Source organism: Homo sapiens, chromosome 13 (assembly GCF_000001405.40).
Source record: "Homo sapiens chromosome 13, GRCh38.p14 Primary Assembly".
NCBI classification, from domain to species: domain Eukaryota; kingdom Metazoa; phylum Chordata; class Mammalia; order Primates; family Hominidae; genus Homo; species Homo sapiens.
The window spans coordinates 98,944,142-98,963,050 of record NC_000013.11 but is presented as its reverse complement, the minus strand read 5'-3'; the positions used below and the strand labels follow the sequence as shown (position 1 = coordinate 98,963,050).

Genomic DNA, 18,909 nt, shown 5'->3' with positions numbered 1-18,909 from the left:
AGGAGCTCTTTCTCCCCACCCACTCTGATCATGCCACATAACCCTCTGTGAGCAGTGTCCCATGGGGTGTCCTGCCTGCCTGCTCTCTTCTTCACAATCCAAGACCCTGCTGCTGTCATGGAGCTGCCCTAATGGGAGGGGGTCAGAAGTGCTTTTCTCTATCGCCCACCCCCAGCTGTGGTTATTCTTCGTCTTCCCTGGCACACACCACAGCAATACTCAGTCCCATCTACGGTATAAGCAGCTGTCTGTTTCCTTTGGGTTCAGCCCCTGAATTTCAGTGTCTGGATGCAGTTTTCTCTATATTGGGTCATTATTTGTCTTCCTTTGTGCATGTCCCTGTCATTATTGCCTGTTTTATTTTGTATGTTTCTGGAGGTCAAGGAAAGTTTTTTTTTCTTTTTTTTTTTTTTAAAACCTATCATGCAAGCAACATATTTAATAATATGAATAGCTCTATTTATTATAATATGTGTTTACAGTTTGCCAGGCTTTGCCTTTTCCATGCATTGACTCAGTTGAGTCCAGCAGCAGCCTCACATGACTGCACAGCTCGGCTTTCCTAACCATGCTGCCATCCTCGTCAGCATTCGTGTGGACACACGACCCTATCAGGGCAGAGTCAGGTTTTGTGAGGGACAAAGCTTACAGAATTTTAGGGGCTTTCTTTAAGAAAAATAATTCAACATTTGAAAACAAAATAAGGCACGGAGGTGAACATTTATTTAGAATTTAAAAAGAAAGAAATTTTAAAAAGCTAACACAAGCCATAAACACCAGAAATCCAGGGAAACAACACATTTTTATCAATGAACCTCTAGATACACCTCCATACTACTTCCCTATAGTTTTAGGGCTTCATATTCTTTTATTGCCTCTTCATATGATCATGATTTTGTATTATCATTCTTCATTGCAAGAACAGATCAGTGTTTCCCTTGGCATGATTAGTCCAAATTTGTATTTTATTATTGAGAGTTTAGAAAAGTTTCTTCTAGTTCCACAACATCTGGGAATGTCACAGGAATTTTTAGGATTGGAAAAGCTTCTGTGAGGTTTCTTTTGTACATGAGCAATGCAGTTTGGGGGCATTCTCAGTTTGTGCAATGACTAATCTTACATACCGCCAAGTAGTCCTGGGGCCACATACCTTAGAACATGTCTGAATTGTGCCATGGCGTCCCATCTTCTGTGTCATGACATTGGGTGGACACAGTGGGCACGTTCCTGGAAATCTTCCTAAGCCAAGGTGCCCAGCAACAATGGAGCTGTATGGGAACCACTGGCAAGCTCTTTTAGCCCCACAGGACGTGTCCCTGGGGCCTGAGTGGGATGCTGAGGGTGGCAAAGATAACAAGACTCAGCCCTGCCCTGAGGCACTGATAGTGGAGCTGAGTGTTTGCAGGTCACAGCAAGCCGAGGACTGTCATGAGAGGCATCCCAGGACTGCTGCTAAGTAAGGATGTGGCAGCAAGGCGCCAAAGGCCACCTTTGTGGGGAGGAGGGAGGTGGCCCCCCAGTTACATGCGAAGTGCTATATGCCTGCCTGGGGCTAGAGCAGCTTGGCTTTAACTTTTTTGCTGCATTGCCACATTTGCGTTCTTTGTAGACCGTCACCCAAGGGGCTGCAGGACTGTGACAGGTGTAGAGGTGGGAGGGGCACATTATCCCTGTAGAGGGAGGGACTGGAGCTGGCTCGTGTCAGAAACAGTGGACGCAACATTGCCTCTTTGCTGGGCGGGCCCCCGGGCTTACCATGAGACTGGAAACCTTGCATCTGCCTAGCTAAGTGGGGGCTCTGTTGTTGGTAGGGAGTTCAAACTTTTGCCCACTTGAAGAATTCTCATTCTTCTTTGCTCTCTCCAAGCATCCCTTCCTTAGTAAAGTGAAGAAACTTAACAGCCCATGGAGGGCAATGGGCTTGACCTTAGCTCTGCATTTAACTTCTGCCAGTACCTCTCACTACGTTGAGCTACATGTTTACAGGCCTGGCTCTTCCACTAGCCCAGGGCTGCTTCAACTCAGTTCCACATGACCACTCTCCAGGGAATTACAGCCCTCCCCTCAAAGCTGTGTATACAATCATAGAAAGCAAAGAATGTATACAATTTTCAGGGGGAGAAGATCCAGGCTCTCAAAGGGGTCTGTAACCTTGAGAAGGCTCAGTACCGGCCTTGTTTCTTCTTCCTCCCTGAAACTGAAAATTCTAATGTAGTTCCTGGGGCATCATGATTGATCAGGGTTTTTCCAGAATCCCCTGGAGAGCATGTTCAAGTATAGGTAGTTGGTCCCTGCTCCTGGAGCTCCTGACTTGGCTCTGGACTGGGGCCTCAGAATTTACGTTTGTAACCAGTTCCCAGGCGACGCTGAATCACCAGTTCCTGGGAACCCACTTTCAGAACCACTGTTGTGGACTATTTGTGAACTGAAGGTACTACCTCTCCCTTTCTGATTTCACGGGAAATCACTTTCAGAACCACCGTTATGGACTATTTGTGGACTGAAAGTACGCCCTCTCCCTTTCTGATTTCACAGGAAGCCTGAGGAATGAATGTTCACAGATAAGGACTTGAGCCTCTACGTGACGGGGAAAGCTGAAGGACTTGTACATAGACCAAGTTAGATTTTTATACACTATAAAAGCAGCAGTCACCCAGTGTGTATGTTCTGAATGTCATAGGCTTGGGAGTCAGCCAGGCCTCACCATGCTTAGGGAAAAATAGTATCCTGAAATATTCACAATTCAAACTCATGAATTCTCAGGGTTTCAAACATGATGGTGCTGATGGCCCCGGAGCAGCTCCACCAACAACCAGAATTTGGGTAATTCTGGTTTTCTTTTGAAGATAGAAAATTAAGAACTTCTCCCTCGGAAGTCTGTCACCAAGGGAAGAATTGAATTTGAGCATGTTGCGATAGCTTTAAAACCACGGCTGTGTGCCAGATCTGTGCCAGGCCTCGTTCTTGCAAATAATAGTGGGGACCGGCAGTCTGGTAATTAGCCTATGTCATTTTGCTGTTAGCGTGATGTTCTTGTCACTAATCATGTCTCAGGCCAATCAGTTCCCTACCCTAGTGGGCTGTCCCCGCCTCCATGCCCCACCAGCACCTGGAAAAGCTTAGCGGGGCTGAAGAACAGTGAACAGCTGTCACCAGTGAATCACAGTTTAAAAAAGAGTTGAAAATAGGCAATTATCCTCTTAACCCACAATTTGGTAGATACAGTGGTGTGACTTCCCACAGATCCACCTCCAAGTCTCCCAAGCCCCTCTCTTCTGCCATTTCTGTCTTCAGTTTCCTCCCCAGGGTGGCTCCATCCCTGCCTCTCTTTTCGTTTTCCTCCCCTGCATCTCCTTCTGCTCCCTTTTCCCTGTCTCCCTCACCAGTCTCTGTTCTCCACCCATTCTCCTCTGATTGTTTCTTTCTTTCCCCCGTCAAAGGACACCTGTAGAAGGGAGGCATTGTGCCCAGTATTTGTATTTGAAGCAAGAGCTTTTTGCCTTGTTCTTAACTTAGGCAGCAGGTGAGCCACTCCCAGTTGATCCCTTTTCCCTGGAGTCAGTCATGTGTCCCGGAAGTGCTTCCAGCAGCTGCTGAAGACCTCTGCCCTATGAGGTCACTAGGAGTTCTTTCATTAAGTGACCTGAGGTAGGGTTTGTACAAGTTGAAAATTTTTATAGTCCTTGATTCATGTTAATCCTCCATAAGATTTCTCTTATTTTTCAGTCAGTACCATGAGTTTTCCTGGTCATGGTACTGCATGACCAGTCTTTAACAGAAATGTTGGCTTATAAACTGTCTTTCACACATTTACTATGGTTGAGTATTGCTAAGCACACATTGTTCAAAGGGCAGCCCAGTATGGGAGAAGAAAGAGTTCTGTTTAACAGAAGACTGTGTCCTGTCCCAATCCAGTCCTGCTGGGTACTTGGTGGGACACTTGTAGCAATTAGCTTAACTTGAGATCCTCAGTTTCCAGCCTCAGTTGTTGAGTGGTAATTGTGACAGTAAAAACACCTTGAAAGTTACACTTTGTCACACAAAAGGAAGACAGTAGCCACAACATTGCATCCTTTCATTAGATACCTCCAAGATACACCTTGGGGGGAAACAGAAATTCATCTAATTAAAGTATTATTTGGTGCCCTAAATACATGAAACTGACCCATGAATATTTTTATTATCAAACATTTTAAGCAACCCAAGTTTAATCAGATAGATGCAAAAAAATCATTAAATATGTTAAGAGTTGTAAACATATCTGTATCTTATATGTCCAGAGACAGGAAACACATCAATAATTGAACATGGAAAATTAATATAAAGAATTACTAAATTGGTGAAAGGGGATTAACTCTATTAGGGGGTAAAGATAACTCTAAAGCAGGCTGTGCCCTTGGGCAAAATCTGGCTGCTGCCTGTTTTTATAAATAAAGTTTTATTGTAACACTGCCATGCCCATGTGTTTACTTATTGTCTGTGGCTGCTTTTGTGCCGCAATGGCAGAGTTTACCAGTTGTGACAGAAACTGTAAGGCTGGCAAAGTCCTTTACAGAAAGAGTTGTCGACTCCTGCTCTAAGAATACAAGAATAGTAAGTTCGGGAACAGAGATCCCCAAGGAAGGAACAAACTGGGAAGAGCCTCTCACCCCCACCCAAGGCAGAGATTCAGGCCTAGCTGGAGAGTGTGGTTGTGGCCCAGCAATGGTGGCTGGTGGCCAAGTTTGCTGAGGTGCCGTGGGCTGGAGCTGGTGGGCAGGGAGCCACCCACTGGGGGGAAGCTGCTGAAGGGGTGGCAGCAGGGCTTTTTAGATGGCTGCCCGCAGGGATGCCAGTGCAGCTTCCTGGAGGGTGTGCCCTTTGTCTCTCCCAGAAAGCCTCCTGGCTGCCCTGCTGTAGGAACAAAGCCCAAAAAATCCCCAAACCTAATAACATTGGCACCTGGGAACAGCCCATTCTCAGCAGTGTCCCTCCAACCCCCTGTCCAGGGCTCACAATGCACCTCTGCCTTCTGGCAGTCTGAAGAATCATGGGCCTTACCTGGGGAGAGTGGAGCCAAGGGGGCTGCACCCAGCTGAGGATTCAGCCCTGCCCAGCCTGTGCCTGTGCCTGTGCCTGTGCAGGCAGCTGGGGCTGTCATGAAAGAGTCTCCCTGGCCTGTGGTTATGGGGCAGCCACCACATAAGCCAGGGAGAACATGGAGTCTGCCCCAGTCTGCAGTATTGGTCCATCTGACCTCTTTGTAATGGAATTTTAGAAAGCTGTGTGCATATTTGGGTTTTATTAGGAATATGGTTACGGTTCCTAGGGAAAATGTTATTAATCACGACATCCATTCATTTTGCCAGCAAGCATTTATTGACTGGTTACTCTATGCAGTATGACAAACAAATAAAAGAGTAAATCTTTTTTTTTTTAATTAAAATATTTTGAAAAAAATTTTCTGGGCAATTCTTATTTAAAAATAATTTGTATAAAGTTTTTTTTTTTTCCTTTTTTGAATGTAAATACAGTTTACTGTTACCAACACTTTATAGCTTTAATTTTTTTGATTTTGCATATTTTTAGTCTCTGTCCACATAGCACATATTTTACTTAATTATAATAATTGTGTACTTGTTTGGTCATTGCTTTTTTTCTTAGCATGTCAAAACATCTTTGTAGAGTGTTGTTAAATCAAGTAATTGGAGTTAAATATGAGCATGTATATGTGCAATAGGCAAAGCAAGTTGACTGCTACTTCAGGCAACTCCAGAATCTCAGCAGCTGAACACAGTAGGTGTTTCAGTTCTTGCTCCTGGGGCATTTCAGTGCCTGTTTAAGCAGGCGGTCTTCTACAAGGGGATTCAGGACCCAGACTCTTTCCATCTTAGGCTCCATCCTTTCCTCAGGCCACCCAGTTCTGCGTTGGATCCTGTGTGCGTGGCTGCAGAGGGAAGGAGGAGGGGCCACGTGGAAGGCTTTTGTGGGCCAGATGAGGCAGTGGCCACATCTTTTCCACTCGAATAAAATTGGTTAGAAGACAGTCACATGGGTGCACCAAAACACAAGGAGGCTGGGAAATGTGGTCCACCTGTATTGGAAAGGAGACAGGTTTTGGAAACAAATAGCAAGCCTCAGTCACAATTGCCAATTTGGATGCCACATACGAAATATCCTTAATATACTTCTTATATAAAAATTGTCATTTTAATATATAAAGCATTTATTGAGATTGTATATATCAGATGATTATAGTTTCAAAAATAATCTTCTAGTAACTATTGATATAATGGACTTACTTTTTTTTTAATTTTTGTTTTTTGAGATGGAGTCTTGCTCTGTCACCCAGGCTGGAGTGCAATGGTGTGATCTCAGCTCACTGCAACCTCCGCCTCCCCAGTTCAAGTAATTCTCGTGCCTCGGCCTCCCGAGTAGCTGGGATTACAAGCGTATGCCACCACGCCTGGCTAATTTTTATACTTTTTGTAGTGACAGGGTTTCATCGTGTTGGCCAGGCTGGTCTCTAACTCCTAACCTCAGGTGACCCACCCATCTCGGCCCTCAAAGTGCTGAGATTACGGGTGTGAGCCACCACGCCTGCCCTGGACTTAGTTACTTCTGATAACATCTTCTATATGCCTATTTTAGCATTTGGCATACTGTAGTATAGTTAGTTGAATATGTATTTTTATCCCTAACCTAGCCCAGTCAATGCCTCGCATGTGGAAAGCGAGCCATAAACAAGGTGGCAGTGACTGGCGATAGATAAAGGGATTTTAACCAAGAGAGCTAACTTTGGAAATAGCTAGAAAAGCCATATTCTCTTCTTCCCTACTTACTCGTTACCTCTTTTTCCTGCTCAGTGCATGCTAGGGATGGACGTCCCCATCCCCTCGGATTCACCCATGAGCCCTGGTTTAAGTAGTACCTGCCCCCCTGGCTGTGACCCAGCCTCTTGGCTGGTTTGGGCTCAGCTCATTATCTTTCTACCTTTAGGTATTACATATTAAGTATAGATATCTGGGGATAGGCAGGGATATTTTGAGACTCAGAGAAGGGCGTCTTGGAGCCCCTTGTCTGAAATAATGAGTCCTGTGGATACATTTAGGCCCTGGGCCAAGGAGGGATGGTATCGTGGCTGGAGCCGTTCTGGGCATCTGGCCTCAACTGCCAGGCCATGGCTGGACACCTAACCAGGGCAACTCTGGCACACCCTAAAGCTTGGAAGGGGACATAGCTAGTCAGGGATGACCCGAGAAATGACTGGAAGCTCCACCAGAATGCAGAGCTTCCTTTGTGCTTAAATAACTGAACAAGCATCACTCTGTGTAGCAGGACACCACCCAGCATTTTTTGTCCCTTTGGAAACAACTCTTATTTCTGTTTCTTTGTGATACCAAAACTAGCATACTCTAATTGTAGAAAATACAAAACATAGAGTAGAACATACTAAGTTCTTTATCTTAAGAAATGGCATTTGTGTATGAGAATGTCTTGCTTATCTTTTCGCCCTCCAGGCAAAGCCAAAGCTAATTGAGCCACTCGACTATGAAAATGTCATCGTCCAGAAGAAGACTCAGATCCTGAACGACTGTTTACGGGAGATGCTGCTCTTCCCTTACGATGACTTTCAGGTAAGTAACGTTATGTTTCTATCCGTAGAACCACGTGTTTGATCTTAACAAGCAGTATTTTTCTATGTATTGATTTATTGTTTGGTTAGTTAATTATTATTATTATTATTTTTTTTGAGACACAGTCTTGCTCTGTCACGCAGGCTTGAGTGCAGTGGTGCCATCTTGGCTCAACGGCAACCTCCGCCTCCTGGGTTCAAGCATTTCTCCTGCCTCAGCCTCTCAAGTAACTGGGATTACAGGCGTGTGCCACCATGCCTGGCTAATTTTTGTCTTTGTATTAGAGACAGGGTTTTGCCACGGTGGCCAGGGTCGTCCCAAACTCCTGGCCTTAAGTGATCTATCTGCCTTGGCCTCTCAAAATGTTGGGATTATAGGCATGAGCCACTGTGCCCGGCCTAATTATGGTTTTTAAAAGATGAAAATAAGATGTTATTTAAGAAAGAAAAGTTATTTTATATTCTTCCAAGCATCCTTCATGAGTTGATAATTTTTAATGGTATTATTTTTGCATATTAATTATAAGTATGCCAAAATGTGTGTGTGTGTGTGTGTGTGTGTGTGTGTGTGTATCTTGAATAAAAGTGCTATACTCTGTCTGGGCTGATTTAGTGGGCACAAGTGCCTTTCTGTCTTTTGAGATTTGTTTTGATTTAGATTTTTTGGCCAAGTACCTTAGAATCTTAATGATGGGCTTTGCTGGGGAGCAGTGGGAGATTTCGTCATGCCTTTTTTTAGGATGGCATTTGGGAGCCTGCCTTCAGAGGCCCTGCACTCTGTGTGGGCTCCCAGCAAAGCGTTCAAGGTTAGCCAAGAATGGCCTGAAGTTTACCTCTGTAGTGTAATGTGGGTGCTGTTCCTTGGAAGAAATGTGGAGGACTCAGCACAGCTCCTGCTGTGTGCCGCTCTTTCAGGCTATGGCCTGTGGTTAAGAGACTAACAAGAAGCTGTGAGGCTGTTGAGGAATGAGAATGACATTCTTCCTCCAGGAAACCCGGTGGTGTTAAATGCCTTGCAGCGAGCCACCTTGGTCCATTTGGAGGTTCTGGTTACTTTCCTTGCTCTCCTGGGACCTGATCCTGGCACTTCTTTCTCCTCTCCTTTGATGCTCTTAGTTGGACACTTCTCTACCTGATGCTGTTACCATTTAAGCCCTGTCTTTTGTGAATCGAGCTGCCTTTTTTTTTTTAAGCTTCACTGATTCTTTGTTGTTTGATTCCAAAAGTGTTACATCCATGTACAAAAAGATAAATGAGAGGGAAATATTGAAATAATTGACATGAAAAGCCTCCCCACGCCTTCTAATCCCATCCCACAGAACATGACTTAACTGTATACAGCTCTGTGCATACTTGTCTTTAGAAACTTCCATGTTAATAGAAATTGTTAAATTACGATCCTTGAAGGTTTTTTCCCACCAAATTTAAGCGACTCCAGCTTACAACAGAGGTGAGAATTTTCACAAATGTTCACTCTTTCTAACTTGTTAGAGATACCTGGGCCCCAAAATGATTATTCTTTAGCTCTGTCCTGCATAAAAGGAATGCCCATGGGAATGAAATTGACCATTCGTGTGGTGTTGCTACCAAAGTAACAGGTAAATGGGTTGAGGTCATGCCAAACAATACCATGCTTTGCATACTTCATTTCATGACTAAACTGCATGGGAACGGACTAATAAATGAGAACCTCTGAATGATGCCTTTTGCCTGTGATTTGGCAACAAATGAAAAGCAAAATCAAATGATTATAAATTGTACTGCATGTTGACAAGATTTTCCTGTAGTGTTGTCTGAGGAAGCTAAAGGTTATCTCAAATTTCTCTCAACATGAAGTATGTGTTCTTCTTGGTATTAATTAAAGTAACAACTTTTTTGAGTTTGCAACCTAGAATGAAAAATTCTATTTGTATGACTGAGATAAAATTGCTTAAGAAACAAACCAAAGAAACGAGATACAGTTAGTTGAGTGTCATCTTTATCCCAGGGGAACAGGTATCTGGATGTTTAAGCAGTTGCAGAATCAGACAGTTTAAACTTTGAGAAAACTTCTGTGTCCCCTTTGCTTTTAACTACTCTGGTGATAGCAGGCACAAATATTCTAGGAAAGGCAAAGAACTCACTAGCATTTTGTTGGCTAAGGTGATGAGCAAATATTATTTTCTGTTTGGGGAGAAGTTTTCCTAGAGATTTAGGAGCTTGAATTGGAGCTTTAATCCTCATCACAGGAATTGTGATGGGCCCCAGTGAAGTTTGGGTACAATTATTTGTTTTCTTATAGACTCCCACTTTCTTATCAGGTAAAGCCATGTACTCTGTGCTTTCTTGTTAAATTGTCTCAGTGATGTTATTAACTGTCTAATTAGCTGGATGAGTGAAAGGTCTTAACAGTGCCACAGATTCTTTCTATCTGTGTTTTCTTAGGCAGAATAAGAGCAGAATTATTGTATTATTAGAGGCAGAGGGAACAAATTAGATTGGGGAAAGTGTTTTATTTCATATGGAAAAGTAATACCAAGTTGGTTAGGAAATGGCAGCAGCAAAACGCATGCTGAGGGGTGATTTACTGCACTTAAATAATTTAGCAGTATAAGTTAACTATTAAAATAATAGAACTTGGTGTCCATTTCTGCCAAATATATTTGAAATGACAATTTACTAAAATATAAGCATGGATAGTGGTGATGCTTGTGTACATTTTTCAAGTAGGCACATGTTGATCTTGAGCCTTTACTGGTCAGATCCTAAAGGCATCTACATGTTCTCTAAAAATGAGTTGTGTCAAGAAAAGATTTGCGGGTTGCATGTAGTTGCCTGAGGATGACAGAAGAGTAGTTACTACAACAGCAGCAAAGAAGAGAGACATGAAGTAAACGTGGATTTTTAAAAATCAAAAGAATAGGCCAGGCGCACTGGCTCATGCCTGTAATCCCAGCACTTTGGGAGGCCGAGGTGGGCAGATCACAAGGTCAGGAGTTTGAGACCAGCCTGGCCAATATGGTGAAACCCCATCTCTACCAGAAAATACAAAAATTAGCCAGGCATGGTGGTGCATGCCTGTAATCCCAGCTACTCGGGAGGCTGAGGCAGGAGAATCTCTTGAAACCAGGAGACAGAGGTTGCAGTAAGCTGAGATCGTGCCACTGCATTCCAGCCTGGGCGACAGAGTGAGACTCCATCTCAAAACAAACAAAAAATCAAAATAATAGTTCCCAGCCATCAGGTTATTGATGAAGTAGGCTGGGCACGGTGGCTCACACCTGTAATCCCAGCACATTGGGAGTCCGAGGCAGGTGGATCACCTGAGGTCAGGTGTTTGAGACCAGCCTGGCCAACATGGCAAAACCCCGTCTCTACTAAAAATACAAAAATTAGCCAGGCATGGTGGTGGGCACCTATAATCCCAGCTACTTGGGAGGCTGAGGCAAGAGAATCGCTTGAACCTGGGAGGTGGAGGTTGCAGTGAGCCAAGATCGCGCCATTGCACTCCAGCCTGGGGGACAAGAGGAAAACTCCATCTCAAAAAAAAAAAGGGAATATTAATGAAGTAAAGTACATGTGATCTGCCATGGCCAGGGACAGGAATGCCATGGGGCCTGCAGCCGTCACTAGCTGATGGCCCTTCTTTTTGCAGAATCAGATCCTGTCGCTTGGGGATCTCTGCCATCTGTGCTTTGGCTTCATGGTTCTCCTTGCCAGCAGCATCTTCTCTTCTAGATCTTTCCTACCCTTTAGAGACCACTTGAAATCCCATATTGTCTGAAGCTATTTAAGTCCACAGAAACTTTTCCCCCCACTGTCTCAATTCCTTTCCTACTGCCTGTCTGCACCGTGCACATAAACACTTGAGTATGTGGTCTTGGCTGTTCACGACCTACTTCTTAGGCTTCTTGCACGCAGGCATCCCGCCCCGTGCTGTGGTCCTGAGAAGGGCTGGCTTTGAGCCTCTGTTCTCCCACCCACCTGCCCACCTACACATGCACAAAATCCCTTTCTTGCTAGGTGCTAGGGTTGAATACCCATTGCTTACCTTACTAATAGTAAAATTTTTACAAGCATTAGGTTATTTTCTTTGATTCATCAAGTAAATATTAATACTGTTTGGAACATGTGATAGTCCCAGCGACTAGATTTGTAAAAATATTTGCAGGATCAATGATTTGGTTTGGCAGAAGTAGGTAATTTCTAAAATTAAAAAATGCAGGTAAAACAGGGACTGGAGAGGAGTATTTTTTCCTAGTGATTAATAAACCTTTATTTTTCTTATTGTTTTGTTGTCTTACCCAGTTTATTTGGCGTAAATCTGAGAACTTACTTTTTCCATGAGCAAAGTTAGAGGTAAACTTTAACAAGCAGTTAGACAGAGGTAATGACCTTTAGATTAAAAGGTTTTAGGTCAAGCTGTATAAGTTGACTTGTCGCTTAAGACATGATGAGCCTCTGTTTAACTGAAAGTCAAGCCCAGGACGCCTGCCTTTTCCATCAAAGACATGGGATTTGGGTGGCAGCTGACTATTGATTTCCAATGACGATTCTTCTTCAAGTGGAGGTCTTTTTACCAGATGGTCCTGTTGGTGGGGACATTGTTAACCCTGCGATTAACCGACGGCATCTTCATCTGGCTTTTAAGCTCCTTGTATCCTGACTTGTTACACAGCTTACTTATGCTTGTGCGACTATGTAAAGTGACAGTATATGAGAAAGGTAGTGAGTAGTAAGAATGTTGGGAGACAATTTAAGCTACCATTCATATTTCATAAAAATTAGACTTTGGTGTCTGGTGTAAACAAACAGAGGACAGAGCTTGTATGGAAGGATAAAAAGAGCGTGTTGGGCCGGGTTCGTTGGCTCACGCCTGTAACCCCAGCACTTTGGGTGACCAAGGTGGGAGGATTGCTTAAGCCTAGAAGTTCAAGACCACCCTGGACAGCACAGCAAGACCTCGTCTCTACAAAAAATAAATTTAAAAAATATTAGATACTAGAAAGATGGCAGAGCAAGAGCAAAGAAAAATCCCTTTGGTTCTAGAAAATCTGAAAAAGAGGAAGGCTTATCAAGCCCTCAAAGCCACTCAGGCAAAGCAGGCACTTTTAGCAAAGAAGGAGCAGAAGAAAGGAAAACAGCTCAGGTTTAAGCGACTGGAATCATTCCTATATGATTCCTCGTGGCAGAAACACGACAAGCTGCATCTCAGACAACTAGAAGTGAAACCTCATGCCTTGGAATTGCCAGATAAACATTCCTTGGCCTTTGTTTTACGCATCCAAAGAATTAATGGTGTGACTTCACTGGTGCAGAGAACCATTGCAAGACTTTGCCTGAAGAAAATTTTCAGTGGTATCTTTGTAAAAGTCACCCCAAAGAGCCTAAAATGTTGCTTATAGTAGAACCTTATGTGAACTGGGGATTTCCAATCTAAAGTCTGTCCAAGAACTCATTTTGAAACATGAACAAGCCAAGGTCAAGAATGAGACCATCCCTCTGACAGACAGCACAGCAATTGAGGAGCACCTGGGGGAGTTTGGTGTCATTTGCCTGGGAGACCTCATACATGAAATTGCCTTCCCAGGGAAGTATTTCCAGGAGATCTCATGGGTCTTGCACCCTTTCCACCTCTCGGTGGCCCATCATGCTACCAAGAATAGAGTGGGCTTCCTCAAGGAGATGGCCTCACCTGGGGTGAACACATCAATCAGCTCATCCACCAGCTGAACCCAACCCAGAATATCTGAAAGCACAGTGTAGTGGAAGCGTGTGTTTTGGGTTTTTTTGGAATTATTATCAAGTATCTTCAGATAAGATTATTTCCTGCTTAATCTTCAAAAACTGGAAAGGAAGGGTCGAAGAAAAGACAGTAGGTGATGTTCATGGCAGACACCTCTCATCACAGTCATTTCCAAGGAAAAATTCCAATGTTTTCTACATTGGCTGCCCCCTCATCTGAAATCAGCATCTGCCATGGAGGAATGGAGGAGGGAGTTCTGCTTAGTTGCATCTTTTGTCTTATGGTTTATTATTGTGAATGAGTAACTCAAGCTATGTACAAGGCTCTGTAAGACTCCTGTAACAGTGGACCAAGCCCAGGGGCATAATTGAGTCTGGAGGTTCCTGGGGCCTTGTTTTGAAGACTTGAAATACACATAGGAAGAAAGGTACAAAAATAAATACTCAGTTGTCTCTGGAAAAAAAGAAAAAATTAGCCGGGCATGGTGGCGCAAACCTGTGGTCCCAGCGACTTGGGAGGCTGAGGTGGGAGGATCACTTGAGCCCAACAGGTTGAGGCTGCAGTGAGCCATGATTGTGCTGCTGCGGTCCAGCCTGGGTGACAGAGGGAAACCCTGTCTCAAAGCATGTTGTATACCACTTCTGGATATATGCCCCAAAGACTTGGAAGCAGGGACTCAAAGAGAGATTTGTTCACCCCTATTGAGATCAGCATTATTTACAGTAGCCGAAAGCGGGAAGCAACCCAAGTGTCCATCGAGGGATAAATGGAGAAAGAAAATGTGGTGTTTACAAAAAATGGAATATTATTCAGCCTGAAAAGGGAAGAAACTCCTGTCCCATGTTACAATATGGATGGACCCTGAGGAGGTTATGCTCAGTGGATAAGCCAGTGACAGAAGGACAAATACTGTTCAATTCCACCTATGTAAGGTCCCTAAAGAATCAAATTCATTAGAGGCAGAAAGTAGAATGCTGGTTACTAGGGATGGAGGTGGGGAGCAATGGGGAGTTATTGTTCAATGGGAACAGAGACGCAGTTGGAAAGATGAAAAGAGTTTTGGAGATGGATGGTGGTGATGGTTGAAAAATGAGAATGTACTTAATGCCATTGAACTGTACACTTAAAAATGGTTAAGATGGTATATTTTGTGTTTTATGTATTTAAAATAATGATTTTTAAAAAGCATAGGATTTCGTTATAGGATTTCTGTGCTATATTTATGGGTGGGAAACTGTTGTCATCCTTAGAACTGTTTGCAAAATCAGGTTGAGGAGTGAGTCCTTAGGTGCTTTTCCCACTGATATTCATGGTGTATTACCTATATAAATGTCTTAGCAAGAGAATTGAAAAGAAAGGATAGGAGTGCAGGTCAAAGATTATTCAAAATTGACAATCCTAGAAATTTTACTTTTTGGAAATGTTTGAATACAGGAGAATCCTAGAGTGTTCTCAGCATTGTACAGAAAAATGTGGTTACTCTATTTCCCTTTCAATAACATCCTGAGTTTTATTTTTCCTCTGGTTCTTTTCCTCTTCTACTTACATGAGACTGATAATGATCTACAAATCACTGACATGGAGAGGAAGCTGTGCCTGCTGCTTACAAAGGCCTGGAAGTCCCTGATCTCATTTCCCATCTGTCCTTTTGAAAAGAAAAAAACTTATTTTTCACGATGTTTTGTCCTCACTCTTTTCTTATATAGAGCCAAAAGAAAAAAACCCTCAATACTTTGTTTTTGGCTTTTTATTGAAAAGTGTTCTTTTCATAAATTCCTCAAAATTCTCATCAGTAAGAATTCAGTGGCCAACAGTGTAACTTTCTGTGAACATTGTGGTTTGTGGGATATTAGTTCATGTCTAGGCTTAGACCTAACTGAAAAATCTGGATAAATTATATTTCTGGGCCGGGTGCAGTGGCTCACGCCTGTAATCCTAGCACTTTGGGAGGCTGAGGCGGGCAGATTACCTGAGGTCAGGAGTTTGAGACCAGCCTGGCCAACATGGTGAAACCCTGTCTCTACCAAAAATACAAAAATTATCTGGGCGTAGTGGCGGGCGCCTGTAATCCCAGCTACTTGGGAGGATGAGGCAGGACACTTGAACCCGGGAGGCGGAGGTTACAGTGAGCCAAGATTGTGCCACTGCAACCCCAGCCTAAGCAATGAGAGTGAAAGTCCGTCTCAAAAAAAAAAAAAAAAAAATTCTGAATAGACACATCTAAACCTTGAGGATATGAGAATTTTAATTCTAGTTCAAGTAATGCCTTTTACAGGAAATAGTGATTGATTTTTTTTTTTAATTATCATCACATAGTCCTTAAAAAGAAAAGCTTACTTTTCAGGTAGCACTGATCAGCTGAGCTTAAGGGTATATTTATTTAACTTATGTTTATTCTTAAACGACTTGTGAAAGGACTCAGCTTTGTGAGGTGCTTGGAATCATAAAGATAAGCTAGGATCCTTGCTTTCAAAATGCTCATAACTTAGGAGAGGAGATAAAGGTATGTCTTAATAAGCAGGGGACTAGGACCAGTGTCATGACATAAATCTAGTCCCATGGGAATCTACTGTGGCAGTATTATTTGAGAGTTTAGTGGAACACTCAAGTGCTGTCAGCTCTTGAAGTGGCTGGAAACGCAGAAGTCCAGCCCTGAGAGAAGTGTTTAAAAAGGAAGATCTGGACTCATCCACAGAAAAGTGAGACAGGCATGAAAGGGGCCGAGAGCATGACGGACTGAAGCCTGGGCTAGTGCCTTCATTTAGGAAAAAGCAGGGGAAGCAGAGACAGAAGTTAGGATAAGAACCAGGAAATGGAGAAGAAGAGTTGGAAGAAGGCAGGCAGAGAGGGCAGACAGTCTCTCCATGGCTAGGGAGGTCCCAGGAAAGGGCTGTGGAGTTGGTGACCAGGAAGGGGTAAAGAAGTGAGTGGGGAGACACAGGTTAGAGTAAGCTGGAAACAGAAAGAAGAAATCAGAGTGGCTCAGAGCAGTGACAAGGTCTGCGGGAGGTTTTACCAGGATTGGGAAAGCAAGAATGAGCTGAGAAGGGTGAAACCCAGGCATGGAGAAGAGATCGAAGATATAGGATAATGTGGTCTGAGTTTTGAAGCAGGGTTCCGCATGGGGTCTCTGGGGAGGGAATTGAGGGTCTTTTAGAGGAGGAGTTGAGGAAGGAGAAATACTGCCAGCTCCAAATGGAAGGAGAGCATTGCGTATTGAGAAGTGTAGCGGCAGATTGTGCTGAGGGAGCTAATGTCAGGCTGGCCTGGGGCAGGGGGAGCTTGGGTGAGTAAGGGTTTGGAAAGCAGGCCATGGAGAGTGGCAGGGGGAGTCAAGTCTCACCAGCTTGTTCTCCCCCTGTTGGAACCATCGCCACAGCCTTTGTCTGTCCCTCTTACCTGGATTAATGCGAGAGACTCCTCTCAAGTCTTCTGGGTTCTCTCCTTGCCCTCTTCCAGTCTGTCCTAACAGTGTAGCTAGAGAGACTGTTTAAAAAGTGAGTCAGAGGATATCATTCCTGTGTTCAGAATCCCCCAGCAAAGGCCTTACAGTGGCCCAAGGGTCCCTGTGATCTTGTTTCCCATTTACTCCCAGGCCTTCTCCCAGCCCGCCTCTCTCACCATCCGCTGTCTGTCTGCAGCCACACTGGCCTCTTTGGGCTCCTGTCTCCCCCGCGAGGCTTGGGACCTATCCTGTCCCTGGAAATTCTTTACCTGGCTATCTCTTGCCCCCTGCAAACCTTTTTCCAAATCTGACCTTTGCAATGAGGCTGTTGCTGACTGCTACAGCTCCACCCCTCTTTGGCCTTGCTGGTCCTCTCTACCTTGCTCTGATTTCTTTTTTTCTCTCCCTGTCTCTTAACAGCCTCTCACACTGGTATATGTTCTTGCTTCTTATGTAAACTCCAGGAGGCAGGGATCTTAGTTTTTAAGCATGTAGAACAAGTGGTAGATATTCAATAAATATTTGTAGAATTAAACAAATGAATTATCAACCAAGAGGGGGGTCTTTCCACTTAAGATTTCAGTGAAAACAATTAGCCTTGTTGGAAATGTCAGTCACCTGGGAATAGAGAAGAGAAAGCAGAGGATGGATGGCTGTGATGGTGGCAGGATGTAGGTGAGAGTGAGTGACCCAAGGTCCTAAAATGACCTCCCAGGGAGTCAAGGCTGGAGAGTCTTTGGAGGTGGACCCTGGACTGGGAAAAGAAGACACTAGAGGGCCCAGAGGAGGAAAGAGCAAAAATACTTGGTGTGGGGTAGTTTGAGGAGTACCAGGGCACACTCAGGGAAGGGACATGTCAGTGTCTGAGAGCTCACGGGAGGAAGGTGTAGTGACAACATGGACCATGGTGGAGTGACTTTAGACGGCTCTTGGGTGAGGAGAATCAGCATGTAACAAAGCATTAAATCATTTGGAAGAAATTCAGAAAATCGTAGATGTACATTCAGCCCACTTACCAGGCCTACTAAACGTCAATCAGATATAATATCAAATTGAAATACGAAGTTAAGGGTAGAGCTCTTCAAGTGGCTATTTTGAGCATTTAAGCTTGAGCTGGATTCCCAGGTCCCTGGAAGATGTATGTTATAAGCTTTCTTATTAGAAATATTGTAGGAAAAGGAAGTGATTTACAAACATTTAGAATCATTGTTTCCTTGACTGATTCATTTGTTCTTTAATTTGTTTAAAACCATCTTGCTTAGCTCACCAAACTTCAAGAAGATCAGCATTGGACTGTGCAAATTCAGTGTTATTTTCCTAAACTGAAGGAAGTGTTAAAGATGAAAACTGCTTCTGAAAAATATCTTCTATGCCTGAGTCCAAATCAGCAACCACAGAAACATATTGGGGAAGCATAATTAACTTTGTATTTGTGCCAGCCTTTCTAAATGAAGGTGGAGGCCTGATAGGCTAGGAGGATGATCTGGTCATGACCCCGCTGTCCTTAAGTGAGGTTCAGCTGATTGGCACCTCAAAGGGTTCTCCCGCCTTCCTCGCTGTTCCCAGGGTATCCCTCTGCATCCCCATGAACTGTTACAGGCAGGGGAGGGTGTGTGGGCAGCTGTGTCCCCATGTGCCCTGGCATAGGACTGTAGGGGATGTGATTGAACATGTTATGCGGGAGCAGGACACACACATGGAACACAGTGTAATGGTGCCCTCAGGAGCCAGAGAACTCAGCGGAACCATGATGCCTCCTGCTGAAACAGTTAGGGTACAAGATCAGTGTGTTGATTTTTATGCTTACAAAGTATTTCATCATTTTCTTTATTTTTTTTTTCCTCAGCCTGCTGAGGGTAGTAGCTTTTTTTTTTTTTTTTTTTCTCATATAGTGGACACTGTGACGTGATTTTTGCTCCATATTGTGCTCAGGAAAACCTAGGATTAAGTGGGTAGTTGACATTAACTACACATGTAACTAGAAGAAAGAGAGCACACACGTATGAAATACCACCTGTATACATCAAGTAAATGTAAGATGTTATTCTCTTATCCTGAATGAAGGATATTGATGAACCCAGTAGTCCATCATTGTATGTTTGTGTTCCCCATGAGAGGTCACAT

At 43.7% G+C, this 18,909-nt stretch overlaps 1 protein-coding gene and 1 pseudogene across 43 annotated transcripts in view; both read left to right on the top strand.

Annotated features, from left to right (window-relative positions):
• The window catches only part of DOCK9 (dedicator of cytokinesis 9), a 295,191-nt gene that overhangs the window by 125,569 nt on the left and 150,713 nt on the right, over positions 1-18,909 (top strand). For all 43 annotated transcript variants that reach the window (XM_047430231.1, XM_005254035.4, XM_006719937.4 and 40 more), the window contains exon 2: positions 7,500-7,616. In XM_047430231.1, coding sequence (XP_047286187.1) covers positions 7,500-7,616 — 117 coding nt within the window. The remainder of the gene's footprint in view (positions 1-7,499; positions 7,617-18,909) is intronic.
• RPL7L1P12 (RPL7L1 pseudogene 12) lies at positions 12,595-13,473 on the top strand (annotated as a pseudogene).